Source organism: Homo sapiens, chromosome 16, assembly GCF_000001405.40.
Source record: "Homo sapiens chromosome 16, GRCh38.p14 Primary Assembly".
In the NCBI taxonomy this organism is placed as follows: Eukaryota; Metazoa; Chordata; class Mammalia; order Primates; family Hominidae; genus Homo; species Homo sapiens.
In genome coordinates, this window is record NC_000016.10 from 60,021,661 (window position 1) to 60,047,103 (window position 25,443).

At 33.0% G+C, this 25,443-nt stretch overlaps 1 long non-coding RNA gene and 1 pseudogene across 1 annotated transcript in view; one reads left to right on the forward strand and one right to left on the reverse strand.

Moving 5' to 3' along the window:
• The window catches only part of LINC02141 (long intergenic non-protein coding RNA 2141), a 198,621-nt gene that overhangs the window by 166,308 nt on the left and 6,870 nt on the right, over nt 1–25,443 (forward strand). Inside the window, exons 2-3 of the long non-coding RNA NR_110917.1 lie at nt 23,051–23,139; nt 24,568–24,772. This is a non-coding gene — a long non-coding RNA (long intergenic non-protein coding RNA 2141). The remainder of the gene's footprint in view (nt 1–23,050; nt 23,140–24,567; nt 24,773–25,443) is intronic.
• Nucleotides 2,728–3,481, reverse strand: LOC100421258 (NOP58 ribonucleoprotein homolog (yeast) pseudogene; annotated as a pseudogene).

A 25,443-nucleotide genomic window follows, 5' to 3' on the forward strand; every position in this document is an offset into this window, starting at 1 on the left:
CCCAAGTGGCCAAGGTAAGTCTGAGCAAAAAGAACAAAGCTAGAGGCATCACATGGTAATGACATAAAAACAGACACATAGAACAATGGAATAGAATAGAATGCACAGAAATAAAATCATGTACCTATAGCCAACTGATTTTGCCAAAGGCACCAAAAACACACATTGGGAAAATGCAGTCTTTTCTATAAATGGTGCTTATAAAATTAAATATACACATGTAGAAGATGTGGAAGAAACTAGGTTTCTACCTCTCAGCATATGCACATACCAACTGAAAGTGAATTAAATAGTTAAATGTAAACTCAAAATTATGAAACTACTAGAAAAAAAAGAAAATGTTTCATAAAATTGGGCTGGGCAAATTTTTTTAATATAAGATCTCAGAAGCACAGACATGAAAGCAAAAATAGACAAATGGGATCAAACTAAAATGCTATGACACCAGAGAAAACAATTAACAGAATGAAAAGACAGCCTACAAAATGGGAGAAAATATTTGCAAATCATGCATCTGACAAGGGGTTAATAGCCAGAAAATAGAAGAAACTTAAATAACCAGATGGCAAAAACAAAATAATCCTATTTAAAAATGGGTAAAATATCTGAAAAGAAACTTCTCAGAAGACATAAAAATGGCCGATAAGAATATGAAAAAGTGCTTGACATTACTAATCATAAAGGAAATGCAAATCAATACCACAATGAGATACCATCTCACTCCATTATAATTGCTATTATAAAGAAGATAAAAGAAAATAAATGTAGATGACGATATTGAAAAAGGGAACACTTCTATACTGTGTACAACATACTGAGGTTGTAGATTAGTAGATTCATTATGAAAAACAGCGTGGAGGCTTCTCAAAACATCAGAAATAGAACTACCATATGATCCAGGAATCCTATTACTGGGTATACACTAAAAGGAAATAAAATATGTAAAAGAGATATCAGCACTCTCACGTTTATTGTAGCACTATGCACAATAACCAAGATATGGAAGCAACCTCACTGCACAACAAAGGATGAACAAAGAAAGAAAATATGATCTATATTCACAATGGAACACTATTCCACCATAAAATGAGTGAAATTTGTCATTTCTAGCAACATGTTTGAACGTGGAAAACATCATGTTACAAGAAATGAACCAGAAATAGGAATATACATACTGTATGATCTCACTCATATGTGGAAGCTAAAATAAATGAAACAAACAAAAAAGCCAAAAACAGTTGATGTCATAGAAGCAGAGAGTAGAATAGTGTTTACCTGAAAAGAGAGGCTTTTTAATATTCTTACCACAAAAGAAATGATAAATGCATGGGGTGATGGATATGCTAACTATCCTAATTTGATTATTATATAATATATATGTATTAAAACCTCAAATTCTACCCCATACATATGTACAATTACAATGTGTCAATGAAAAAACTATATGTATATTGTATATATGAGACACATCTCATTTTCTTTTTTGATGGGTCTGTTTTTTTATAAATAATATCAGGATATTAAATCTTGATATATTAAAATATCCTGATATATTAAAAGATTCTGATATATTAAAATCTTAAAATATCCTGATATAACAGGAGATTTAAAAAAATAAAATAAAAAGACCCATTGTCTTTGTCCATTTTGTGTTGCTGTAAGAAACTACCTGCTGAGATTGAGTGATTTATGAAGAAAAGAGGTTTATTTAGCTCATGATTCTGCTGGCTGGAAAGAATGAGAAACATTCCACAGGCATCTGCTGGGCTTCTGGTGAGGGCCATGTGCTAGATAAAAACATGGCAGAGAGGGTCAAAAAGAAAGTATCCATGTGGGAGGAGAGACCAAACAGAAGGAAGAAACTCCCTTTATAATAACCTACTCTCACTGGAGTTAATTCATTTTCAGAGAACTAATCCCATCTCCCCAGAGTGAGAACCCAATACCATAGGAACAGCACCAAGACATTCGTGAGGGCTCAACACCTATGACTTAAACACCTTCCACTAGGCCTTATTTCCCATCACTGCCAATTGAAGATCAAATTTCAACAACTTTCGGTGGGGACAAAACAATCATATACAAACCATAGCACACAAATTTTCCTTTTGATTTTGGTTTCTAGGAAGTACAAAATAAGTAATTAATGTAATAAATACTATATTTCTGGTCCCAAGACAATTATCCTCCTCTTATTTGGCCTAATTCCCTTTTTTAATAGTGTAAGTCATGTCAAATCATTTTTAGATATAGATAGAGTATGATGTATTAATTACTCCCACACACAAATTAATTGTGCTGTTATAATCCAACTCAATGAGTTCATATGATGGAGAAAAGGTTTAAAAAGTGAAGGTAGGATGGTTGACATGAGCTAAATTAAAATTTAGTATCAACTTTAACCATCTGGAAAGCGTACATTTTTAGAGTCCATTATTTTAATTTATAACTTAATAGAACATGTATATTGCTGGCTGCATAAATTTCAGGTGTCCTACATATTAAATGATTAAACAAACACATTCCCCGTTTCAACACTTCCATAAAATAAACTAAAGTCATGCTCTGCCTATGACAAATATTGATTTGCTTTGCTGTTTCAAAATACTTTTAAAAATTATGTCTGTGATGGACAGCTTGTTCCTTTCTTTGCTGCATGCATCCCAGAGTTAGTACTCAAATGATTGAGTTTTTTTTAATACAAAGAAAATTTTATTTGTACATTAAAGACTCTAAGAAATGATGACATAAGTTAACAGAGTTGATGTCAAGACACAAATAGGTTTGACGTTATAGATGATAAATCACTTTGTTTTAATGAACCTTCCCTTGATTAGGTTAGAGAGCATCCCTGGTACGCTCCCAGTTGAATCTTAAGCATGATGCGTCCAGGTGATATAATCGTAATTCCTTTCTGTTAGTTCTTGTGATCTCTCTTTTTTTTTCTTTTTCTTCTTTTTCTCTGGACTAGGAATTGTTGTGCTGGTACATGGTTCTTCCTCAGAAAGTGGTTCTTCCTTAATGTGTTTCTTTTTACCTTTTTTTCTTCTTCTTCTTCACAGGTGTTTCTTCTTCTGCCACTTTTTCTTCTTATTCCTCTTCTTCAGCTTTAACTTTAATCTTGGCTTTTTTTTTTTGCATTCTTTTCAGTAATTTCATCCTCTTTATCTACCTGTTCTATTTTGCATTTTTTAGAACAGGTTGGAGGTGTGGAGTCACCAGAAGAATCATAAGTCTTCATTTCAATAAGCGTACATTGTTTTTTCATTTTAGTGGCTTTGGGGTAGTTTATGAAGACTAATAGTTTCCAAAAAGTAAAGGTATTAATATTTTTCAAGTAGGTTAGTCACATTCAAGAGAAGTGGTGAGCTAAATGAATTCTTTTGTGTTCATATTTTTCTGTTTTTACTAATGCCTTTCCTGTTCCACTTATTTTTCTTATCCCTCTATCTTCCAAAGTTCTCAACCTACCCTTTAATTTAAAACATCATTCAAAAGAGTATAAGAAAATTATCTGTATTCCTTCTTCTGTGGCATGAAATGTTTAAAGGGACTTCCTGTTTCTAGCAAAGTGTATCTACTGGCTATGCACCCCTTTCATTTTGAATTCAGAAGCATATTTTTCTGACTTCTAGATTCTTCTAAATTATTGAAATTCATTATTCTTCATGATTTTCCTTTCAACTCACCAATAGGAGAAAGGACAAGGAATGTTCTCCCAAAGGGCATTTTCCCTACTTGGCCCTAAAAATGATATTAATTAACAATCATGGTAAATAATATTGATAAAGTAAATAATGAAATTAATAAGAATTAATAATGATATTAATAACATCTCTCTTTTTTATTAAGTTTTTAAATAAAATTCTATATGTTTTATGTTTTAAAAAAATTCTGTATGTTTATGTTTTAAAAAATTCTCTTTTTTTAATAAAAAAGAGATTTTTAAAAAATAAAAATCTAATTTGATTAGTGTTGGGAAAAGTGAGGGTAAAAGGGAAGGAAGGAAAGAGCAATCAAAATTGCATCCCTGACAAGATGACACTTCACATCACTTAAAAATCTACATTATTTTAATTTTAGTTATCTATGAAATAGATTGACAGATGATATTATTAGATTTCTGAACAAACATGTATATATGAGGATACTTATTACAGTATTATTTTAATAGTTTACAACTTTAAAAAAACAAAAATCCAATTGAAGGGTGATTGAATAGACTATAGTACACAAATTACTTTAATGGCTCCATGTTCTCCATATTTTCAAGCAATTTTAAATGTATGACGTTGCACACTTTTTTTCATATAAGATAAACAAGCATAAGTGCACATTTTAAAAATACACACATATTCACAGAAAAAAAATATGAATGTCACCTCCTGGAGGTGGAATTGGAGTTTCAATCTTTGATAAGAGGCTACTAAATGGAATCAAAAAGTGTAATAAAATCATAAATGTTGATGAACGGATATTTAAATCTTGAACTTATAAACACACAGGGTATTTATCAGAGTTCTCCAGAGAAACAGTAACCAAATAAAAACAGATTTATTACAGGAAATTTGCTCATGTGATTACAGAAACTGACAAGTCCCAATATCTGCAGTCAGCAAGTTGGAGACACAGGAGAACCACTGGTGTTGTTCCAGTTCTAATCTGATGGCTTGAGAACCAGGGGAGCTGATGGTGTGGTTTTAGTTTGAAGACTAGCAGGCTCAAGACCCAGAAAGAGCCAATGTTTCAGTTCAAGTTCAAACACAGGAAAACACATATGTTTCAGCTCAAGGCAGTCATACAGGAGGAGGAAATGATTTCTTATTTAGGAAAAGCTCAGCCTTATGTTCTACCTAGGCCTTCAACTGATTGAATGATTCCCATCCACATTAGGAAGGGTGACTGGCTTTACTCAGCCTGTCAATTTAAATGTCAAAGTCATCCTGAAACCTCCAGAATAATGTTTGCCCAAATATCTTGGCACTCCATGGCCCAGGCACATTGACACATATAATCCTCAATCACACAGTTTGCTTTTGAAAAGTGAGTAGCTCCATATTAATTTTTAAGGATTATTGGCATAAAGTTATGGGTTGGTATACTGAATCACAGGAAGCCAAAGGTTTTGTCAATACCTTTCTTAGAAATAAAAGACAGTGAGACATATTCTAAAAATGATAGAATTTCTAATTTTGTAATGAGCCTTGTCCCTCTCCTTTCGAGATTCTATTACTCATTCAATGCTCATAGAGTGTCTTTCATTTAAGGTTTGTGAGGCCGTGTTATCTCTTAGTCCCAATATTATCAATCTTATCTCCAGCTTACCCCTTTTAAACTACCAGGACAAATTGTCAAAGATTTGGAAGTGGGCAAAGGTGATTACTGGGTGTTCATTTGGAAGAATGCTGGATATTATCTGATGATTTATGGGATTATCCGATTCTACAGGCATGTTTTTAATTCTCTGACTGACTAGGCTATATTACAACTATTTAGAGATAGAAGTTAACTTGAAGAAAACTCATAGTAATGTAAACACTTTCTCTTTAGAACAATGCAAATTATTACTATTCATAGTAATGGAATAAATTTTATCAGGAAGATGGCATAAATCTCTCTAAATTAAATTATCATTTGAATCAATTTCAATATATTTCTGATTCAATTATTAATTAAAAAATGTGAAATTTTAACATAATTTTGTATTATATAAAATTAAAATATTTGCATTATGCCTTTAACTTTTTTGTTAACTTCACTGTTCTTTTAATTACTTTCTCAAAAATCTGTTTTAGTCAGTGGATTACAAGCTCAGTGAAGACAAGGACCACATTTGTCTTGTTTATTGCTGTATCCTGAGGGCTTACTATTAGGAATTTAGGAAGGGCTTGGAAAATGTCCACATGGTTTCCTGAATTAGTAAATGCAAATGAATCAAAGATAACTTCTGAGCAATGAAATGAGTCCTGAGGGAGAAAATTTCAGTGGTATTAAGAAAGCATTGAATGGCCTCATTAAATCAGAACATGCAAAGTGTTTACATGCAAAATTTATAATGAAAAGCCACTATTTAGAGAGTACCTTTAAGTATCACTGCTGGGGAACTGCAGTGTTTTTGGAGAGGAGTCCTATAGTGTCAAAAAGGTATGGACTGTTACTATTTTAACTTGGGATAGAAACATCAGGGAACAGTGCAAAATAATCTATTATATCCCTTGTACCTAGACATTAAAAACACACATATTTCTTATTCGTTTTTATATGATTAAATTTTTATTTTTAAAGATGATTTTGGTTTTCCTTAATTAAAAATTATTATTCTGGTAAAAATATTTTGCAGGAATCAAGAAAGTCAAGCCAATAAAATATTTGAGATTTTTACACATCTAGATTTAGATCTATTATAAGCTCATGCAATTTGCTTAGTACTATATAGGTGACTCAAGGAAACCAAAATATACTACCTGAAAATATACTTCTTTAGCATATTTTGAGATGGCTATTCAGAGGGCTGCAGATACTGGAATAGCTCTGACAAGCTGTCCTTTATAGGGGAGATTTGCATCTGTAGAGGAAATCTGTATTAATGAAGTAAAAAATGAATGCAAAGAGGTTTACTCTGGGGCCCTTGTATCTACCTTATTCAGATCTAGGAAAGATCAACTCACAGAGCAAGGAGAATAAAAGTCTAACGCTTTTAAAGGTCTGACAGAGACACTTTCGTAGGCTACCATCTATTCTTTCAGAGGTCCACTACCTGTGAGCCTTTGCTCACCATGCCTTTCCTCCCCTCTCACTCCCATGACCTTTCACCATGCTCCAAGCATGTATTTCTTTCTCTGCGAAAGAAAAACTTTAGTCATGTGGGTCTTCCTCAAGTCTCACATTTTGTGTTTTTGCTGTGCTTATGTATGTTAATAAATTTGTATGCCTCTTTTTTCTGTTAATCTATTTATTGTCAAATTACTTTACCAGGATGACTCAATTATTGAACCTTCAGAGGGAAAGTTTAAACTTCCTTCCATGATCTTATAAAGGCTAACGGAAACTGATTTTATATATATATATATACACATATATATGTATATATATGTATATATATACACGTGTATATATATACATATATATACACGTGTATATATATACATATATATATACACGTGTATATATATACATATATATATACACGTGTATATATATATACATATATATACACGTGTATATATATATATAAAATCAGTTTCCGTTAGCCTTTATAAGATCATGGATCTTATAATTATGTATATATATATATATGTATATATGTATATATGTATATATATATATGTATATATATATGTATATATGTATATATGTATATATATGTATATATATATATATATATAAATTTCCTAATAGATGCAGTACTCTTGCTAATATGCACATCTAAATTTTTGACACGTATGTTCTCAATGAACATTGAAATTTAAAAATCTAACATTTCTTTGCTCTATAACATTTGTAATAAAATTCATTATTCTGTGACTGTCTGTGGTATTTGCATGTTATAGAAACAGGGAGATGAGATGATAAAAGAAAAACAAAAACCTTGCTATAGAAGTAGTAAATCTCTTCTGTAAATACACAAAAACATGCACTAAAATTTTTTGAAAATTAATTTGTAATTCTAATTAGGCATTAGAAAACCCAACACCAACAGACCTTCCAACGTACATTAAGATGTTAAAATATCCAAAGATCTTTCTAGTATTATCTTTTTACTAAGAATTCCTGCTTTAGAGCTGCAAGCAGGATACCTACAGGGAGGCTGTTTTGCCTTGTGTCAGTATATTTAGTAACCATAGAACATCAACTGCTTTTTTTAGCATAACTCCTGAGTACTTTTTTTTTTTAACAACCACAGAACATTTCTGATGCGTTAATTATAATTTCCAACTGACAAATCTCTCCTCCAATAAATGATATTGGGTAAATTTAATCACTGTGATTATCATCTAGATTTCTCTAATTAGTAATTAATATGTTTAAAATTTTAATAAGATGAAAATGGTCAGAGAGTGGAGATAACCCAATTTACCATCATTGTTTTCCTTATCCATTTATGAATTAATAACTAACCTGCAAAGGCCTACAAAAGAGGAAGCTTGCTAAAGCATACTTTTTCTATGGGAAATTATAAAGTATTATTTGTGTCACCATAGAATATACTTACTGGTGTATTAAGATCTGGTTTCATTTCCGATCCCCTACTTAAGTAACTAGCCCAACGTCATGTAATTTTTACTTGTCTGAACTTCAGTTTCCTTACCTGTCAGCATGGAGCTGGGGGATCAAATGAGATAATACATGTAACACACATTGCACAGTACCTGACCTTTAGCCAAAATTTAATGCGGTAGGATCAACTAAATTTGTTAACACTTTTGAAAATTGAAAGTAATTGCTATGGCTTGTCTTTTTGACTGAGATAGTTATTTCATCCAAAACTAGTACACAAAATTTTAAAGAAGTTTTTAAAGAAATGAAATGGATATCCAGGAAGAGAGCCGGATGGAAAAACAAAGGAAATCAAAACATAAAATGAAAAATTGACAAAGACAATGACAAACTGGGTAAAAATCAGGCAATGAAGAAAGAAAAAAAATGCTGAGCACTATTTTGTGTCGAATTGCTGCAGCTATCCATTTGTTATATCATATTTTCTCACTTATACTCAGATTAAATGAGCAGTTAAGAGAAATGGATAGTTTTCATAATAACAGGACTGGTGGTCTAGAAAGTTGAGGCAAATTTGCTATTTATGGATTTTGTATCTTTAGGCAAGGCACTTGATCACTCCAGGTTACTTTGTTCATCTGAGGGTCTTAAAGCAAATATATGCTAAACTTCCTTCAAGCTTGACAATTTCTATGTCTATGATTCTTTGAATTCTAATACCCCAGTTTAACCTACCAAGCTCAATTCTATTTGAGTCCAAATTGAGGACTAGCTAAAACAGAAACAAAGTGGAAACACCTTTCCATAAAACACACCCACCAGTGTGCCATGTCAGTTTACCATTGCCATGGCAATCTAGAAGTTACTGCCCCTTTCCATGGCAATGACCTGGCAACCCAGAAGTTACAATCCTTTTTCTAGAAATTTCTACAAAATCTGCTCTTTAAATTTGATATAATCAAAAGTGGGTATAAATATGACTGCAGAACTGTCTTTGAGCTGCCACTCTGGGCACATTGTCTATGGGCGTAGCCCTGCTCCTCCAAGATCAGTACTTTTGTTGCTGCTGTACACTGCCGCTTCAGTAAAAGTTGCTGTCTAACACCACTGGCTCATGCTTGAATTCCTTCTGGGGAGAAGCCAAGAATCGTCCCAGGGTAAGCCCCAGTTCTGGGGCCTGTCTGCCCTGCATCAAAATAGTCCAAACTTTTAATCTTTAAACCAGTCTTTCCTCCCCATTTTTGTAACTTTATCAGTATCCTCTTTACCCTGTTCTTAAAAGAAAAGACCCTTGGCTGGTTTGTGAAAAAGAGACAGTGCATGCTTAGAGAATACCTGCAAAGTAGAATAGCTGGCTAGTCATGAAATTCTTCCATTACCAATTAGTCAACTTGGATAAACAATGTTATAATTAGCTATACCCATAATTATAAGTAAGATAAATATCATAGCTAATATTGGAGTAAGTCCATGAAATACTTATCTGTGTAGTGTAGTATCTGAACCACCCCTTCTCCTATTGTTCTATAGAGTAAAATTTGATGTCTGATGTTTGTGAATTTCCAAATTCTTACGTGAAAAAAATAGCAATTGAACTACATTTTGTGGGTTAGTTTATATTTTTTAGGTAGGCTAAATCATGAAAATCACATAAGGCGGTTAGGGATTCCTAAAACTGTTCTTCCTAGGTGATAATATGCAGACAGATAACATGAAAAATTATCAAAATAATGCAGATTCCCATTCAGTAAGTCTTGGGTCGGAATTGAGTACCCGAATTTTTAACAAGGTCTCACATAATGCCATTGCTGCTGGTCTGATGACTAGCTGTAGAATGGGCAAGGTGTAGATTGAACAGTCCCAGCCCCTTCTGCCCTCTCCTTAAATGTAGTTTAAGAAGACGTAATTAAAGCTGCTCTGCCCTCTTGCTTGAATGACCCATAGGCTAGTTGTTTTGCATCTCAGTTTTCTTCTCTGAAAGAGAAAGCAGGAAGGAATTTTACTGGTTCTGGGAAACAAGTAACATATCCAGTGGAAAGTATCCAAAGGAATAATATACTTTGAATAAAGTAGTGGGATCCTTTCAGGATGAAGTCATTTATCACAAGACTAAACATATGAGCTGTTTTGCTTCATTCACTCTGATCCTCAGACTAGAAATTTCAGTGGACTCCAAAATGTATAATTATAGTTGATATTTATCTCTAACATTCTGCTGATAATCCTTGTCTCAAGTTCTAGCTAGAGGTACCAATATAAATTCCATGAATTTCTATTCTAAACCAAGAACAGTTTTGTGGTTTAAATGGTAGCTTTTTCTTGCATTTTTTTAAATATGGAGTTTAAAATCACATGGCTTTTAATTTTAAAAAGTTCAAGTTTGGATTATTTTTGAGTGGCTATGTGTGAGGCACTCTGCCAAATGCTTTATTTATATTTTTATTTGATGTCCAATAGAATCCAGCCAGGTAGATGTTTTTAATCTTATTCTACAGAGAGGGAAACAAAAAATCTATTATTGTACTCAAAATCCAGGACTGTCTGGTACAAAAATAAATTGTTATTCTGAATTTTTCTACAGCCTAGTATAATTGGAATAATTGGAAATGCAATTCAGAGCAGCAACATTAAAAATAAAATTAGAGCATTTCCACTTCCAGAAAAATGGTGTAGATGTGTTTGTCCCTACTTGTCTTGCTAAGTACAAATTAAAATCCTGGATATTATACAGAAAACAAACACAAGACTCTGAAAATTGTCTAAATGAAAGCATACTGACTAGGAAACTCAGGACCCAAAAAATGGTAGAGCGGTGAATTGTCTAGGCTTTCTTCCTGTCTCATATGCCTCAGACTTGGAGTTGAAGAAACCAGCAATCCAGAAATGCCAACAGGCACAGACAAAAACAAACAACAACAAGAGTCTGCTTTTCATAGCTCAAAAACAAGGGAATGGGTAGCTTAGCAAGACAAAAAACTTTTAGACAATAATTATTCTCTTTTAGCCACATGCTCTAGAAAAAGCTATAACCTCATGCTTGCCCCACTATTAAAGGCCAAATGGAGAGCCTAGACTTCAACTTTTACCTGGTTGTAATAAGGTACTTTGACTCCAGTGATGGAGTACTGCTAGAGTAGGCCAAGTCAGAAGCTGTAACTTTTATTCCTACTGACAATAATTAAACCCTCCTCCTCTCCTTTACAGTGAGACCAGATGGGGAGCCTGAACTTTTATCCCTGCTTTGCAGTAATGGGTTGTTCATTCCCCTCTCCCCATATTGAGTTGGTGTCATAAGAAACCTAAGGGATAATTAGGAATGTCACCATGGTTCAGCAATAGGAAGACTACTTCTACAACCTTGGTATATATAAATAAAGGAGAAGTTAACAAGGCACACCTACGTTACCCAACCAAGAAATTATCAGTGGGGACCTAGCAAGGATGCAGAATTCCCACTCCTCTCTAGAAGTAATAAGGAGATCCCCCTTCAGGTATAAATGGAGGACAAGTGGGGAACTTGGATGTCCGCATGCACCTGACAGTGAGAAGCACTGTCACTTCCTTCTCATCCCAGAACAGTTCAGAGGAAGCTAGCTGAAACAAAAACTTAATTAAGATCCAGAGTCTTATAACATAATACTCACTGAAGATGTCTGGGTTACAATTAAAAAAAAAATTACTTGTATTTCTAAAAGTCTGAAACTTCTCAAATTGAATAAAAAAAAGACAACCAATAGATCACAATACTGAGGTGATAGAGATATAAGAATTATCTGATAATTATTTTAAAGCAGCTATAATAAAAACATTTCAACAAGTAATAGTGAACATGTTTGAAACAAGTAAGAAATCAAAAGTCACAGCAAGAAATAGAAATTCTTAATTTAAAGAAATCGAAAATAGAGGCCGGGTGCAGTGGCTCATGCCTGTAATCCCAGCACTTTGGGAGGCCGAAGTGGGCAGATCACAAGGTCTAGAGATCAAGACCATCCTGGCCAATATGGTGAAACCCCATCTCTACCAAAACTACAAAAATTAGCTGGGTGTGGTGGTGTGCACCTGCAATCCTAGCTATTTGGGAGGCTGAGGCAGGAGAATCGCTTGAACCCGGGAGGCGGAGGTTGCAGTGAGCTGAGATTGTGCCACTCCACTCCAGCCTGGTGACAGAGTGAGACTACGTCTAAAAAAATAAAAAATAATAAATAATAAAAAAATAGAAAATAGAAAGAAAAAATGGAAATTTATGACTAAAAAAATTAGTAACTAAAATAAAATACTCAGTGAATAGACTGAAACACAGAATGGAGGAGACCAAGGTAAAAATGGGTGAACTTGACAATAGAACAATAGAAATGACCCAATATGAACAAATGAGACAAAAGAGAGTTAAAAGAATACAGAAATAAACAGAGCCTCAGGGATCTGTGGGACTAAAACAAAACATCTAGCATCCATGTAATCGCAATTGCAGAAAAACAGAAGAAATTGGGAGGTACTAAAAAAGTGCTCAAAGAAACAATAGCTAAAACTTTCCAAATCTGGCAAAATATGCAAAACTATACCAGTCAAGAATAGGATAAAAATCCAAACAGAATAAGTCTAAATAAATCTACCCCCAAACACAGTCTAATCAAATTTAAAAAAAATAAAGACAAAAGAAAAAGACTTAAAAGTGTTGAGAGAGAAATGATACCTTATTTATTGGATAAAATCAATTAAAATGGAAGTGAATTTCTTATAAGAAACTATGGGCCAAATAAGAAATAATGACATTTTTCAAGTACTGAACAAATAGAACTGTCATTCCAGAATTGTATTACGTGGCAAAATATTCTTCAGGAATGGAAGGAAAATAAAGATATTATCTGTCAGATGAAAGAAAACCAAAAATATTTGTTACCAGTAGGCCTACCCTTAGAAAATTGCTAAAGGAAGTTATCTAAAGGAAATTAAACAATTTTTAGAAACATTAGAATAAAAAAGAAAGAATAATGGAAAAAGTAAAAATGTGGTAATCATAAGGCATTTTCTTCCCCTGTTGAGTTTCCTAAATTATGTTTGACATTTGAAACAAAAATTATAGCACTGTCTGATGTGGTTCTAAATGCTTATATAAAAATATTCAAGACAATTACATTATTAAAGATAATGATAAAATGATAAAATGGGAAGCAAGTTTCATGCAGTACTTGAGTCTGTAAATTTATGACATCAACAACTGACATTGTGGCATATTGTGATGACTTATGAACTAGTAAAATAATACCTACAACAGTTTAAAAGCTATAAAGAGACACACTCAAAATCACTTTAAATATAACAAATAAATTTCTAAAAATTGTTAAAGTAACCCATGAGTAGGCAGAGAAGAAAAAAAACTACACAGTGAGAATAGTCACAATCAAAAGAAAATGGCAAACTTATGCTTTGTCATGTCAATAATTACATTAAAAATAAATGGTCAAGTTTTCTGATTCCAAAATAGCAGCATAAAGCAAGCTGGTTTCACTTTCCCCTCAACCCTACAAAACCATAACAAAACAAGACATATATACAGCACTACGATTATTACCAGCAATATCCTGGAACTTAAATAGTTAATTCTCAAGAACACAGAAAAATGGAAAACTCTGAGCAGAAGGTGAGAGAACTAGACATCCATATCTGTGTGGCCTTTGAGATTGAAGTGGGCAACCAATTTTCCTACCATCTTGAATTCACCAGGCCAGAGGCTTGTCCCTGCCTCAATCTAAGGAAAACATAATGAGCACTGAAAGAAGTACCCTAAGGACAGCCAGAGACAAAGGGGAAAGTGAGACTACCATCCTCAATGGTGGAAACTACTCTATAACTTGGGGGAAGGCAATGCCAAAATTAGAGTTGCTGTTCAGCAGCATCACACTGTACATGGCAGGTTCCACAGGTCCTCTGGGTAGAAACCTTTAGCAAGCCTTACCACTCTGCCTGGATATCCCCTTTGGGACCTCCTTTCATTTGGCATGGGAAGTGCTCTGATAGTTTACTAGAGTTGAAGCAAACCTGGGCTTAAGGCACCATCTAGCACCACAAAGGAGGGGATAAATCTAACTGGTATATTAAGAATCTCTAAGCAAACATATGCAACAAAAAGTAAAACATGCCAAACAGAAAACACTGGAATAAATAATACCTCAATACAAAAACATAGATGCATATCCACAAGAAACAACAGCAAACAGGGAACCATGACCTCTCCAAATGGACGAAACCAAGAAACACTGACTGACAGTAAAGAGATGGAGACATGTGAGCTCTCTGACCAGGAATTCAAAATAGCAGCTTTAAGGAAACTCAGTGATCACCAAGATAACACAGAAAAGCAATTCTGAAATGTGTCAGAAAAAATTAACAAAAAGATTGAAATAATAATGAAAGTAAATAGAAATCTTAGAAGTGAGAAATATATTTGATGAACTGAAAAATTTATCTGGCTCTCTAAATAGAATGGATAAAGCAGAGGAAAGAATAAGTGAACCTAAAGATAGGCAATTTAAAAATACACAGAGGAGAAAAAAGATAAAAAGACTGAGAAGTAATGAAGATTCCCTGGAAGATATAGAAAATCACCTCAAAAGATTAAATTAAATATTGGTTTTTAGCAGGAAGTTGAGAATGAGCAAGGGGTAGGAAGCCTATTCAAAGAATAACAGCAGAAAACTTTTCAAAACTTGAGAAAGATAGGAATATCCAGATAAAAGAAGGTTAGAGAACACAAAATAGATTTGATCCAGTTAAGACTACCCAAAGGGTTATAATAATCAAACTCTCAAAGGTCAAAGACAAAGAAAGGATTATAAAAGCAACAAGATAAAAGAAACAAATAACATATACAAGAGCTTCAATTTGTCTGGCAACAGACTTCTCAATGGAAACCATATAGGCAAGGAATAAGTATGTCAGCATTTTCAAAGTCTTGGGGAAAAAACTCCCATCTAGTAACCCTGTATCCCACAAAGTTATCCTTTAAATATGAAGAAGACATAAAGTCTTTCTCAGGCAAACAAAAGCTGAGAGAATTCACCACCATCAAACTCATCTTATGAGAAATGCTAAAGAGAGTTCTTCAATCTGAAAAAAAAAAAAAAACATTAATGTGCACAAAGAAAACATTTGAAACTATAAAACCCACTGTTAAAATTAAGTATCAGACAAATATACTGTAGTCTAATACTGTAATTGTGGTGTGCAATCAACCCATAACTATAGTAAAAAGCCCAAGACAAATTTATTAAAAATAACAAATAACAATAGCTAGAGCAGCCTGTGAAGAGGAATAAGCAATATAAAATATAAAACTATGTACACTGAGATTTTTAAAAATTCAAAATGTTGAGAGGAATAGAGTTAAAATGTAGGGCTTTCTTTAGTTCTTTAAAATTTATTTCTGTGTGATCTAAGATAGGTCATCATTTCTTTAAAATAGCTAGTGTGTCTATAAGATGTTTTTGTAAGCCTCATGATAAGCACAATGTAACATTTACAATAGATTTACTAAAATTAAAATGCAATGATTTTAAATGTCACTTAACCACAAAGGAAGACAATAAGAAGGGAAGAAATAAAGAATTTACAAAACCAGAAAACAAGTAACAATATGGCAGTAGTAACTCCTTATTAGCAACAATAACACTGAATGTAGCTGAATTCAATTTTCCAACTAAAAGAATGTATGAATGGATAAAGAAACAACTCTATGCTGCTTACAAGAAACCCCCTTCACCTATAAAAACATACATAGACTGAAAGTGAAGAGATGAAAAAAGATACTCCATGCAACTGGAAACCAAAAAGAAAAAAAAAGCAGAAGTAACCATACTTAGATAAAACAGATCTTAAATCAACAACAGTAAAAAAAAAAAAAAAAAAAAGATTAAAGAGATCATTATATAATGATAAAAAATTAATTCAACAATAAAATATAACATTTCTAAATATATACACACCTAACACCAAAGCACCTATATTTGTAAAACAAATACTACTGGACCTATGAAAAAAGATGGACAGAAATACAATAATAGTGGGGAAATTTAATCCTACACTCACAACAGTAGACACATCATCAAGACAAAAGAAAAGTCAATAAAGAAACACTGAACTTAAATCGGACTGTAGACCAAATGAAACTAACAGACATGTATAGAAAATTCTACCCAGCAACTACAGAATATACGTTCTTCTCATCAGTGCATAGAACCTTTTGCAAGATAAATTATATATTAGGCCACAGAACAAATCTCAATAAAATTTTAAAAATCAATGCTTTCTCATAAACTGGAAAACATAGAGGAAATGGAAAAATTCCTGGAAACATACAACCTCCCAATATTGATTCAGGAGGATACAGGTATCTGGAGCGGACCAATAATGAGTAGTGAGACTGAATGAGTAATTTTCAAACTCCCCACCCCGCCCCCGCCAAAAAAAAAACCCAAGACCAGAAGAATTTACTAGATATACAAAGAACTGGTACTAATCTTCCTGACACTGTTTCAAAAAATTGAGGAGTGGGGAACCTTTCTAACTCATTCTTTGAAGCCAATATCACCCTGATACCAAGGCAGGTAAAGACACAACAAAAAAAGAAAACTACAGACCAATATTTCTGATGAATATAGATGCAAAAATCCTCAGTGAAATACTGGCAAACCGAATCTAACAACATATCAAAAAGATAATGCACCACAACCAAGTTGGTTTTATCCCAGAGATGCAAGGATGGTTCAACATACACAAATTAATAAATGATACTTACCTTATAAACAAAATTAAAAACAAAAACCATATAATTATCTCAATAGATGTAGACAAAGCCTTAGATAAAACTCAGTATAACTTCATGATAGAAACTACCAGAAACTAGGCATAGAAGAAGCATACCTCAAAATAATAAAAGCCATATATGTGATGAACCCACAAGCAATACTATTCTGAATGTGGAAATATTGAAAGCATTCCCCTAAAAACCAGAACAAGACAAGGATTCCTACTTTCACCACGACTATTCAACATAGCACTGAAAATTCTGGGCACAGTAATCAGGCAACAGAAAGAAATTAAAAAAAAAACACATTCGAATTAGAAAGAGGAAATACAATTTTCTGTTTGCTGATGATATGATCTTATGTCTGGAAAACACTAAAAACACTAACAACTCCTCCAAAACTCTTCTAGATTTAAAGAATGAATTCAATACAGTTTCAGGATACAAAGTCAATGTATAAAAATCAGTATCATTTCTATACACCAATAAGGATCAAGCTGAGAACCAAATCAAGAACTAATTCTCATTTACAACAACAGTAGAAAAATGAAATACCTAGGAATACATTTAACCAAGTAGGTGAAAGGTACATCAGTATCCAATACAAAACACTGATGAAAGAAATTGTCAAGGACACAAATAAATGAAAAAAATCCCATGCTCATGAATTGGAAGAATCAATATCATTAAAAAATGACCATACTGCCCAAAGCAATCTACAGATCTATCAAAATATCCAAATTATTTTTCACAGAATTAGGAAAAAACTATTGTAAAATTCATATGTAACCAAAAAAGAGCCTGAATAGCCTAAACAGTCCTAAACATAAATAACAAAGCGGGGGGCATCATATTAACTTACTTCAAATTATACTGCAAGGATATAGTCACCAAAGCAGTGCGGTACTGGTATAAGTATAGACATATAAATCAAAGGAATAGAATAGAGATTTCAGAAATAAAGCTACATACATACAACCAAACTGATCCTCAACAAATATGACAGAAACATATACTAGGGAAAGGATACTCTATACAATCAATACTGGTGGTAAAATTGAACAGCCATATTCAGAATAAAACTTGATCACCATCTTTCACCATACAAAAATTAAATCAAGATGGATTAAAGACAAATGTAAGATCTAAAACTCTAAAAATTCTACAAGAAAACCTTGGACAAACCTCTCAGCAAATGGCTTAGGCAAATAATTCATGAATAAGACCTCAAAAGTAAATGCAACAAAAACAAAAGTAGGCAAATGGGACTTAAACTAAAAAACTTCTGCACAGCAAAAGAAATAATAAACAGAGTGAAAAGATTCTGTCAAATGGGAGAAAATACTTGCAAATTGTATATCCAGTGAATCTACAAGAAACTGAAACAACTCAACCAGAAAAAACAAACAAATAACCTAATTAAAAAGTGGGCAAAGGAAATGAACAGAAAATTTTCAAAATTAGATAGACAAATGTCCAACAAATACATGAAAAAACGTTCAACATCACTAATATCAGAGAAATACACATTAAAACCACAGTGATATACCATATTACAGTAGTCAAGATGGTTACTATTAAAAAGTCAAAAAGTAACCCACACTGGTGTGGGTGGAGAAAAGAGAATGTTTATACACTGTTGAAGGGAATGTGAATTGTACAACTTCTATGGAAAACAGTATAGAGATTTCTCAAAGAGCTAAAAATAGAACGGCCATTTTATCTATCAATTGAACTACTGGGTATCTACCCAAGGGAAAAAATCATTTATCAAAAAGATACTTGTCCTGGTATGTTTATCACAGCACTATTCACAGTAGCAAATATGGAATCAACCTACGTGTCTATAAATGGATGACTAGATACAAAATGTGGTGTTTATATATATCATGGAATAGTACTCAGGCATAAAAAATAAAATCATGTCTTTGGCAACAACATGGATGGAACTGCGGCCATTAATCTTAAGTGAAATAACTCAGCAACAGAAAGTCAAATACTGCAAGTTCTCACTTATAAGGAGGAGCTAATTAATGTGTACACTATAGATATGGTCTATATAACAAAACTGCACTTGTTAGCTTGCATTTATTAGCTACAAAAAATGATGAGTGGATATTAAATCCTCATCACAAAAATACTATGTGAGTTAATAAATGTATTTGTTAATTTAACCATTCCACAATGTATAAAAGTTTGAAAACATTATGTTGTACATGAAAAATACATACAATTTTATATACCCATTTAAAAATAATTAACTTAATTTGGAACAAAAATAAATGAATGGCAAATCTAAATAAATGAAAAGACATACCACACATATGCGTGGATTGGAAGGCTCAACAGTAAAGATGTCAATTCTTACCAAGCTGATTTACAAATTTAAAGTAATTGCTTTTAAAATCCTGCAGGGTTTTTTGTAAACATAGGCAAGATTATTCTAAAATTGGCATGGAAAGACACAGGAATTAAAATAATTAATACAATTTTGAAAAAAAAAGTAGGAGGGATCAGTCAATTCAACTTCATAACTTATACAGTTCCAGTAATCAAGATTGTGTGGTATTTGTGAAGGAACAGACGTATAGACCCATGGAATGAAACAGAGAACTCAGAAACAGACCTATGCAAATATACTCAACTAATATTTTGCAATAGTGCAAAAGCAGTTTAATGGGGTAAAGTTAGTCTCATCAAAATTGATGTGGGAGCAACTGGACTACAAGGGGGTGGTAAATGAACCTCAACCTAATCTCACACCTTTACAAACTTATAAGTAAAACTGAATCTTTTAGAAAAAAATTAAGAGAAAATCTTTGAGATACACAGCTAAGCCCGTTCTCAGTCTGCACACCAAAAGCACAATACATGAAAGGAAAAATGGGTAAATTCGATTCCATAAAACTTCAGACCTTTGCTCTGCAAAAGACCCTGTTAAACAGTTAAAAAAGGAAAGTGCAAAATGGAAGAATATATTGTAAACCACATATCCAACAACAGAGCAGAATCTAGAAAATACAGAGAGCTCTCAAAACTCAACAGTACAAAAATAATCTAATTAGAAAATAGGCAAAAAACTTGAAGAGACAGTTCACCTGAGAGTATGTACAGATAGCAAATAAGCACATAAAAATGTTCAAACGATGAGTCATTAAGGAAATGTATGTTAACAGTATAATGAGATATCTGTATATACTAATCAGAATGACTAAGATAAAAAACACTGATAACACCAAATGCTCTGCAGGATGAAGAGAAATTAGATTATTAATACACTGCTTGTGAGAGTATAAAATGGCATAGCCATTCTGAAAAAGTTTGGCAATTTCTTTTTTCATTATAAATTTTATTTTAGGTTTAGGAGTACATGTGCATGTTTGTTATATAGGTAAACTGCATGTCACAGGGGGTCAATATGTAGATTGTTTTGTCACTCAGTTAATAAGCATAGCCATTCTGAAAAATTTTGGCAGTTTCTTAAAACTAAGCATAAAATTAACTATAAACGTAGCAATCGAACTCTTGTGTATTTATTCTAGAGAGGTGAGAACTTATGTTTACATAAAGTCTACTTATAAATTTACAGTAGCTTTTTCATAACCCAAACTGAGAAGAACCTAGGTATTCTTCAATGCATAAATGAACCGTGGTGCATCTCTGCCATGAAACACTACTCAGCAGTAACATAGTATAAACTATAGATACAGGCAGTAACTTGGATGAATAGCCCAAGAATTATTCTGAGTGAAAAAAAAAGCTAATCCCCAAATGTTACTTAATATCAGATTCTTGAAATAACCAAAATTACAGAAATGGAAAAGAAATTTGTGGTTGTCAGTGATAAGGAGAGAGTAGGAGTGGGATCGAAGTGATTATTGCTATCAAAGGGTTAAGGATCCTCGTATGGATGGTAATGTTCTGTGTCTCAATTTCATCAATGTTAATATCCAGGTTGTGATATTATTCTACAGATTTCCAAGATATTACCATTGGGTGAAACTGAGTAAATGTACAGAAGATCTCTCTATTATTTGGTACAACTGCATGTGGATCTATTTATCCCTCAAAGTAAACATTTCTTAAAAAAAAAAAAACAAAAAAAAAAAACTAAGAAGCTTTGAAGTGAGTATGAACTTTAGTAAATTGTCATTTATCAATAGTGGCCAATTCATTTTGAAGTTGTTAACAAACAGGGGAGACCATGCATAGGATGTAAGAGAACTCTCATGTTCTACTGACTTTTCTATAGATCTAAAACTTGTGAAGTAAATACTTTACTGAGTTTATAAATATACACATAAATAAAATGGGAAAATGTGGAGATACACTTATGTGTTGTGCCATTTAGAAAGTGGCATTGTTTTTATAATAAAAATAGTTTGTATAGTTTTCATGATTGTTTTTATGGTAAAAAATGTAAAAATATTTGAAATAAATCACATTATAACTATACATTGGAAAATATATGTATGTATGTTACATATGTGTACATATAATATAATAATATTTGCTAAATTTTTTTTAAAAGGCAAAGATATTGGTGATAACAAATCATATTGTGTCAATGGGTGAAATCTGGTATCACTCAATATTTTTATTGTACCAAGAGAAGTATATATAACCCTATATTTGTCTATGGCTATGCTTTTAAAATATTTCATACAATGTTCATAATAATCAGGCCGTTTAGCTCCTCTCAAAACTCAGGTGTAATTATCATATTCAATCTTGGGATCACTAAACACACAAAACACTTGACTCAAAGAAGACATACAACTACTGTTTGTTCAACCAAGATTTGTGTTGTCCAGGATATCACAATTATTGAGTGGAAGAGGGAAGGAAATCACAAATATATCCTTCTTCTAAAAGTGGAGTTCATTTCATCACAGTTTAATTTCTGGTATGGCTAAAAAGGAAAGCTTTCCTTTGTGTTTTATCTTTATTTTTCCCATCATCTTTGGCAGATGTCACATACATAGTAAGTGCTCATTAAGTATAAGTTGAAGAGAATGAAGTCATTTCTCCCTCTAAGACAACTCTCTTGCTTCTCATGGTCTCACCATTTCATAGTTGAGACAGTAAAACTTGGCAATTTTCATTCACAGTTTTGAATGATTTAGAATTCTGTTTTGCATTTCAGTTTTGTCTGAACCCATATGGTAAAGTCAAAACTCCCAACAAATCTGATAAATTCCATCTTGTGCTAGCCATTCCCTGTGGCTTGGTACAGCACTACAAGCTTTTGCACTACTTAATTTTTCCTTGTTCCATGACCATCTGTATCTGCATCTTTAGACTTGAATAGGTCTTGCAATTGTCTGAAACACAGTATAAAAGAGCTCTGATATGTTCATTTGTTAAGGATGAGTCTCTAAGAGGCTAAGAGAGTAAATAAACCAATCTGAGAACACAGAGTTTGCAGTACTAGAGTAGCATCATACCTCAGCACAAGTATGCTCACCTGTAAAGGATAACTCTTGGAGTTAGAGAGCTCAGATTTAGAGTTAATAAATGGTCACTTGTTGGTATGAATGCTTACCAAGTAATTAATATGTATCCAATACTAAGGACAAAATGTACTAGATACTTTTTAAATTCTCCAAGCAAACCTTTGAACTAAACACTAACATTAGCCCCACTAAATTATCAGCTTCATTTTATTATCTATCAAAATGCTAGGCACTACAAATTTAGTTATTTTGCAGGGTACAAATTGCATCTATGAAGATGCCGACAAAAACATTTAGGTAGTCTTCACAGTGGATTTTACGTTTGAGCTGTATCTTGGGGAATGAGTGGGGTTTGAGCAGGCAGAGCATGATGGAAAGGATATTCTGTTCTAAAGGATCATTCTGTACCAAAGATCCAAAAGAACTTGTAATTGAATGATATATTCAGATAACAATGTGGCAAAATGCATGGCTGAAAGTGGTATGAGATATCTGATAAGTAGGAAAGTAACTTTAGATCTAATTATGGATGGCCTTGAATGCTAGATGAAACGTTCTGGACTTCATTCACTAGGTTACAGTGAACTGAAATGTGGAATGCTGTGACCCTCTGGCAGCAGCGTGAATCATGCATTGAAGAGGAATCAGAGATAGGAACACTAGGTAGGTCTTCTCAGATTAATTGGTTGAGGGTGAACAAGAGCTTTGAGCTCATTAATATGCTTTGCTCTCTATTAGACTTTATGTCCTGTGGCTCATTAGTTCCCTGTTGATATAGCCTCAGGCTGTGTTTCTTCCTGAGTGAGTTCGTGGGGTAAAGATTTTCCTCTCCCTCTTAAAAGTATATCAACATCCAGCCTTGCTGGGCTGTGCAGCATTTGCCGATTCCTTTGTGAGCACTTCTGACCCATAAGAGAGTTCAGTTTGAAATGTTAACTAAAAAGCTGGGAAAAAAATTAATTAGCTATCGTCAGCTCTGGCTTAGGTATTCACAACATCTATTTCTGAGACTTTCCACAACAGAAACATGGTTTGTTTGTTATGCCATTGGTCTTATTTCTCCAGAGGATGAAATTTAATAATTTGGGGGGTGACTTTTATTATTCAGCTTGCTCGTTTGATGAGAAGAGATGGAATAGGCCAAGGCAAAGGATAGATAATATTTTTCTTTTTTCAATACATTGAAAATATTTACATAATTGTGTGTCTCTTGTTACATATAAACACCTAAGATAAAAACAAAATCTAAAATAAGAGAGAGAAATTAGAACAAATGGAAAATGAGACTTAGAATGAGATAATAAAAATGGGAATGACGCTAGTTACGGCAATTATTATCCTGAAAACCTGCACCCTTTTCAGCGATGGGCCATCAGTTGGGCTCTAAACTTTCTCGTAATTAACCCTGGGACTGTAAGCCTTTTCAAATGTCTATAGAGGGAAGAAAGGGAAAAGTAAACAAAACACTTGTGCCAAAAAAAAAAAAAAAACCTTGTATTCATCATTTCTGTTTGTTCAATTTCTCTAATATCTAATGGTACCAGGAGGATATTATAGGTTGTAATGAAAACAGTTCTTCAAAAATATCCTTGTAGTACAGATGTCATTTCAAAGAATTTTTCTCAATTTGCCCATTAGTATAAGGTTGAAACACATTTCAATAACATAAATGGAATGAAGTTGGGTGACAGAAGGAAGAATACAATATTGCTGTCTAAATACGGAGTTTTCTATTCATCCTATATAATCCAAGACTAGGTCTTAAAAAATGCATTCCAAATCTCCAATGATGTTGGTCTCCAGAGAATCTTCTCCAGTGCATAGTTAAGCCTACCATCAGATCTGTTAGAATGTTCCATCTTGGATCAAGTTTCTTTTTGGAATATCATTAAGACAAACTGGATGCAAAACATACAGCTAAAGAAGCAAATACATTAATTTGTGATGTGATAATAAATATGTCAGTTTAATACTGAAAAACTTCACTAAAATTATTGACTTCGATTTTACAATAATTACAATTTTTGACTTGTTAATTATAGTTGCTTGACTTCTTGAGTAAATACCTAATTTATTTGTTTTTCTTTAAAGCTAAACACAAGGCATTTCTTAGAAAAGAAGACAAGGCAATGAAATAGATTCAGTCCCCGAGCAACCTGACTGGTTGATATTGAGAGCTAAGGAGGTGATGGGGAAGAAGGGGAGCACAGGATGCATTAAACACAAACTTCTGTTTCATAGCCCTGCAAGAAGCTATTTCAACTTAAGACACACTCAAATTGGATCCCATCCAGTGGTAGGTTTAAAATGCGTTTTATTTCTTGCTTTCTCTATTGAGCATTTTCAGCATCTTTGCTGCAGAACCTCCCAAAGTTATTTACTACAGGTGTGTTCGTAATTGTGATATATTATAAACATTTACATTGTATAATGGTCCTCAACATCTTGCATCCGTGACCTGGTACCTGCATACCAAGCAGTCAGGCAAAGCAGGTAGAAATATAGGCTGCCAACTTCTGGTAAAAGGGCTTTGTTTTGTATTTTCTTTTCTCAGATGTGACATTCTCTTAGGACATTAATATTTGTGTAGCAATTTTTCTCTCAATTTTCTACATTGCTTCAGTTAAATGCATCTTTTTAACTTAAAATATTAACAATGTTTAACAGAAACCTTTCTAAATGACATGCATGCTTCATTGTCTTCTTAAACTAAGTTAAGATAAATTTAGATTTATTTTCTAAATGACCCACAGTTTATTGCATCAATAATTGGACCATGATGAAATGAGTCCCATTGGTATTAACGATGCATAAACAGATTTTGCTTGGTCACATATGTCCTCATCTTATGAGCTCTTGACTTTGTTATGTAATAATAATAATAATTCATCTTCTATATTGCAAGTCCAACTGTCAGTGATTATGCTTACTGGTATCTATATTCCTACATCTAGTATCATTTCCCCA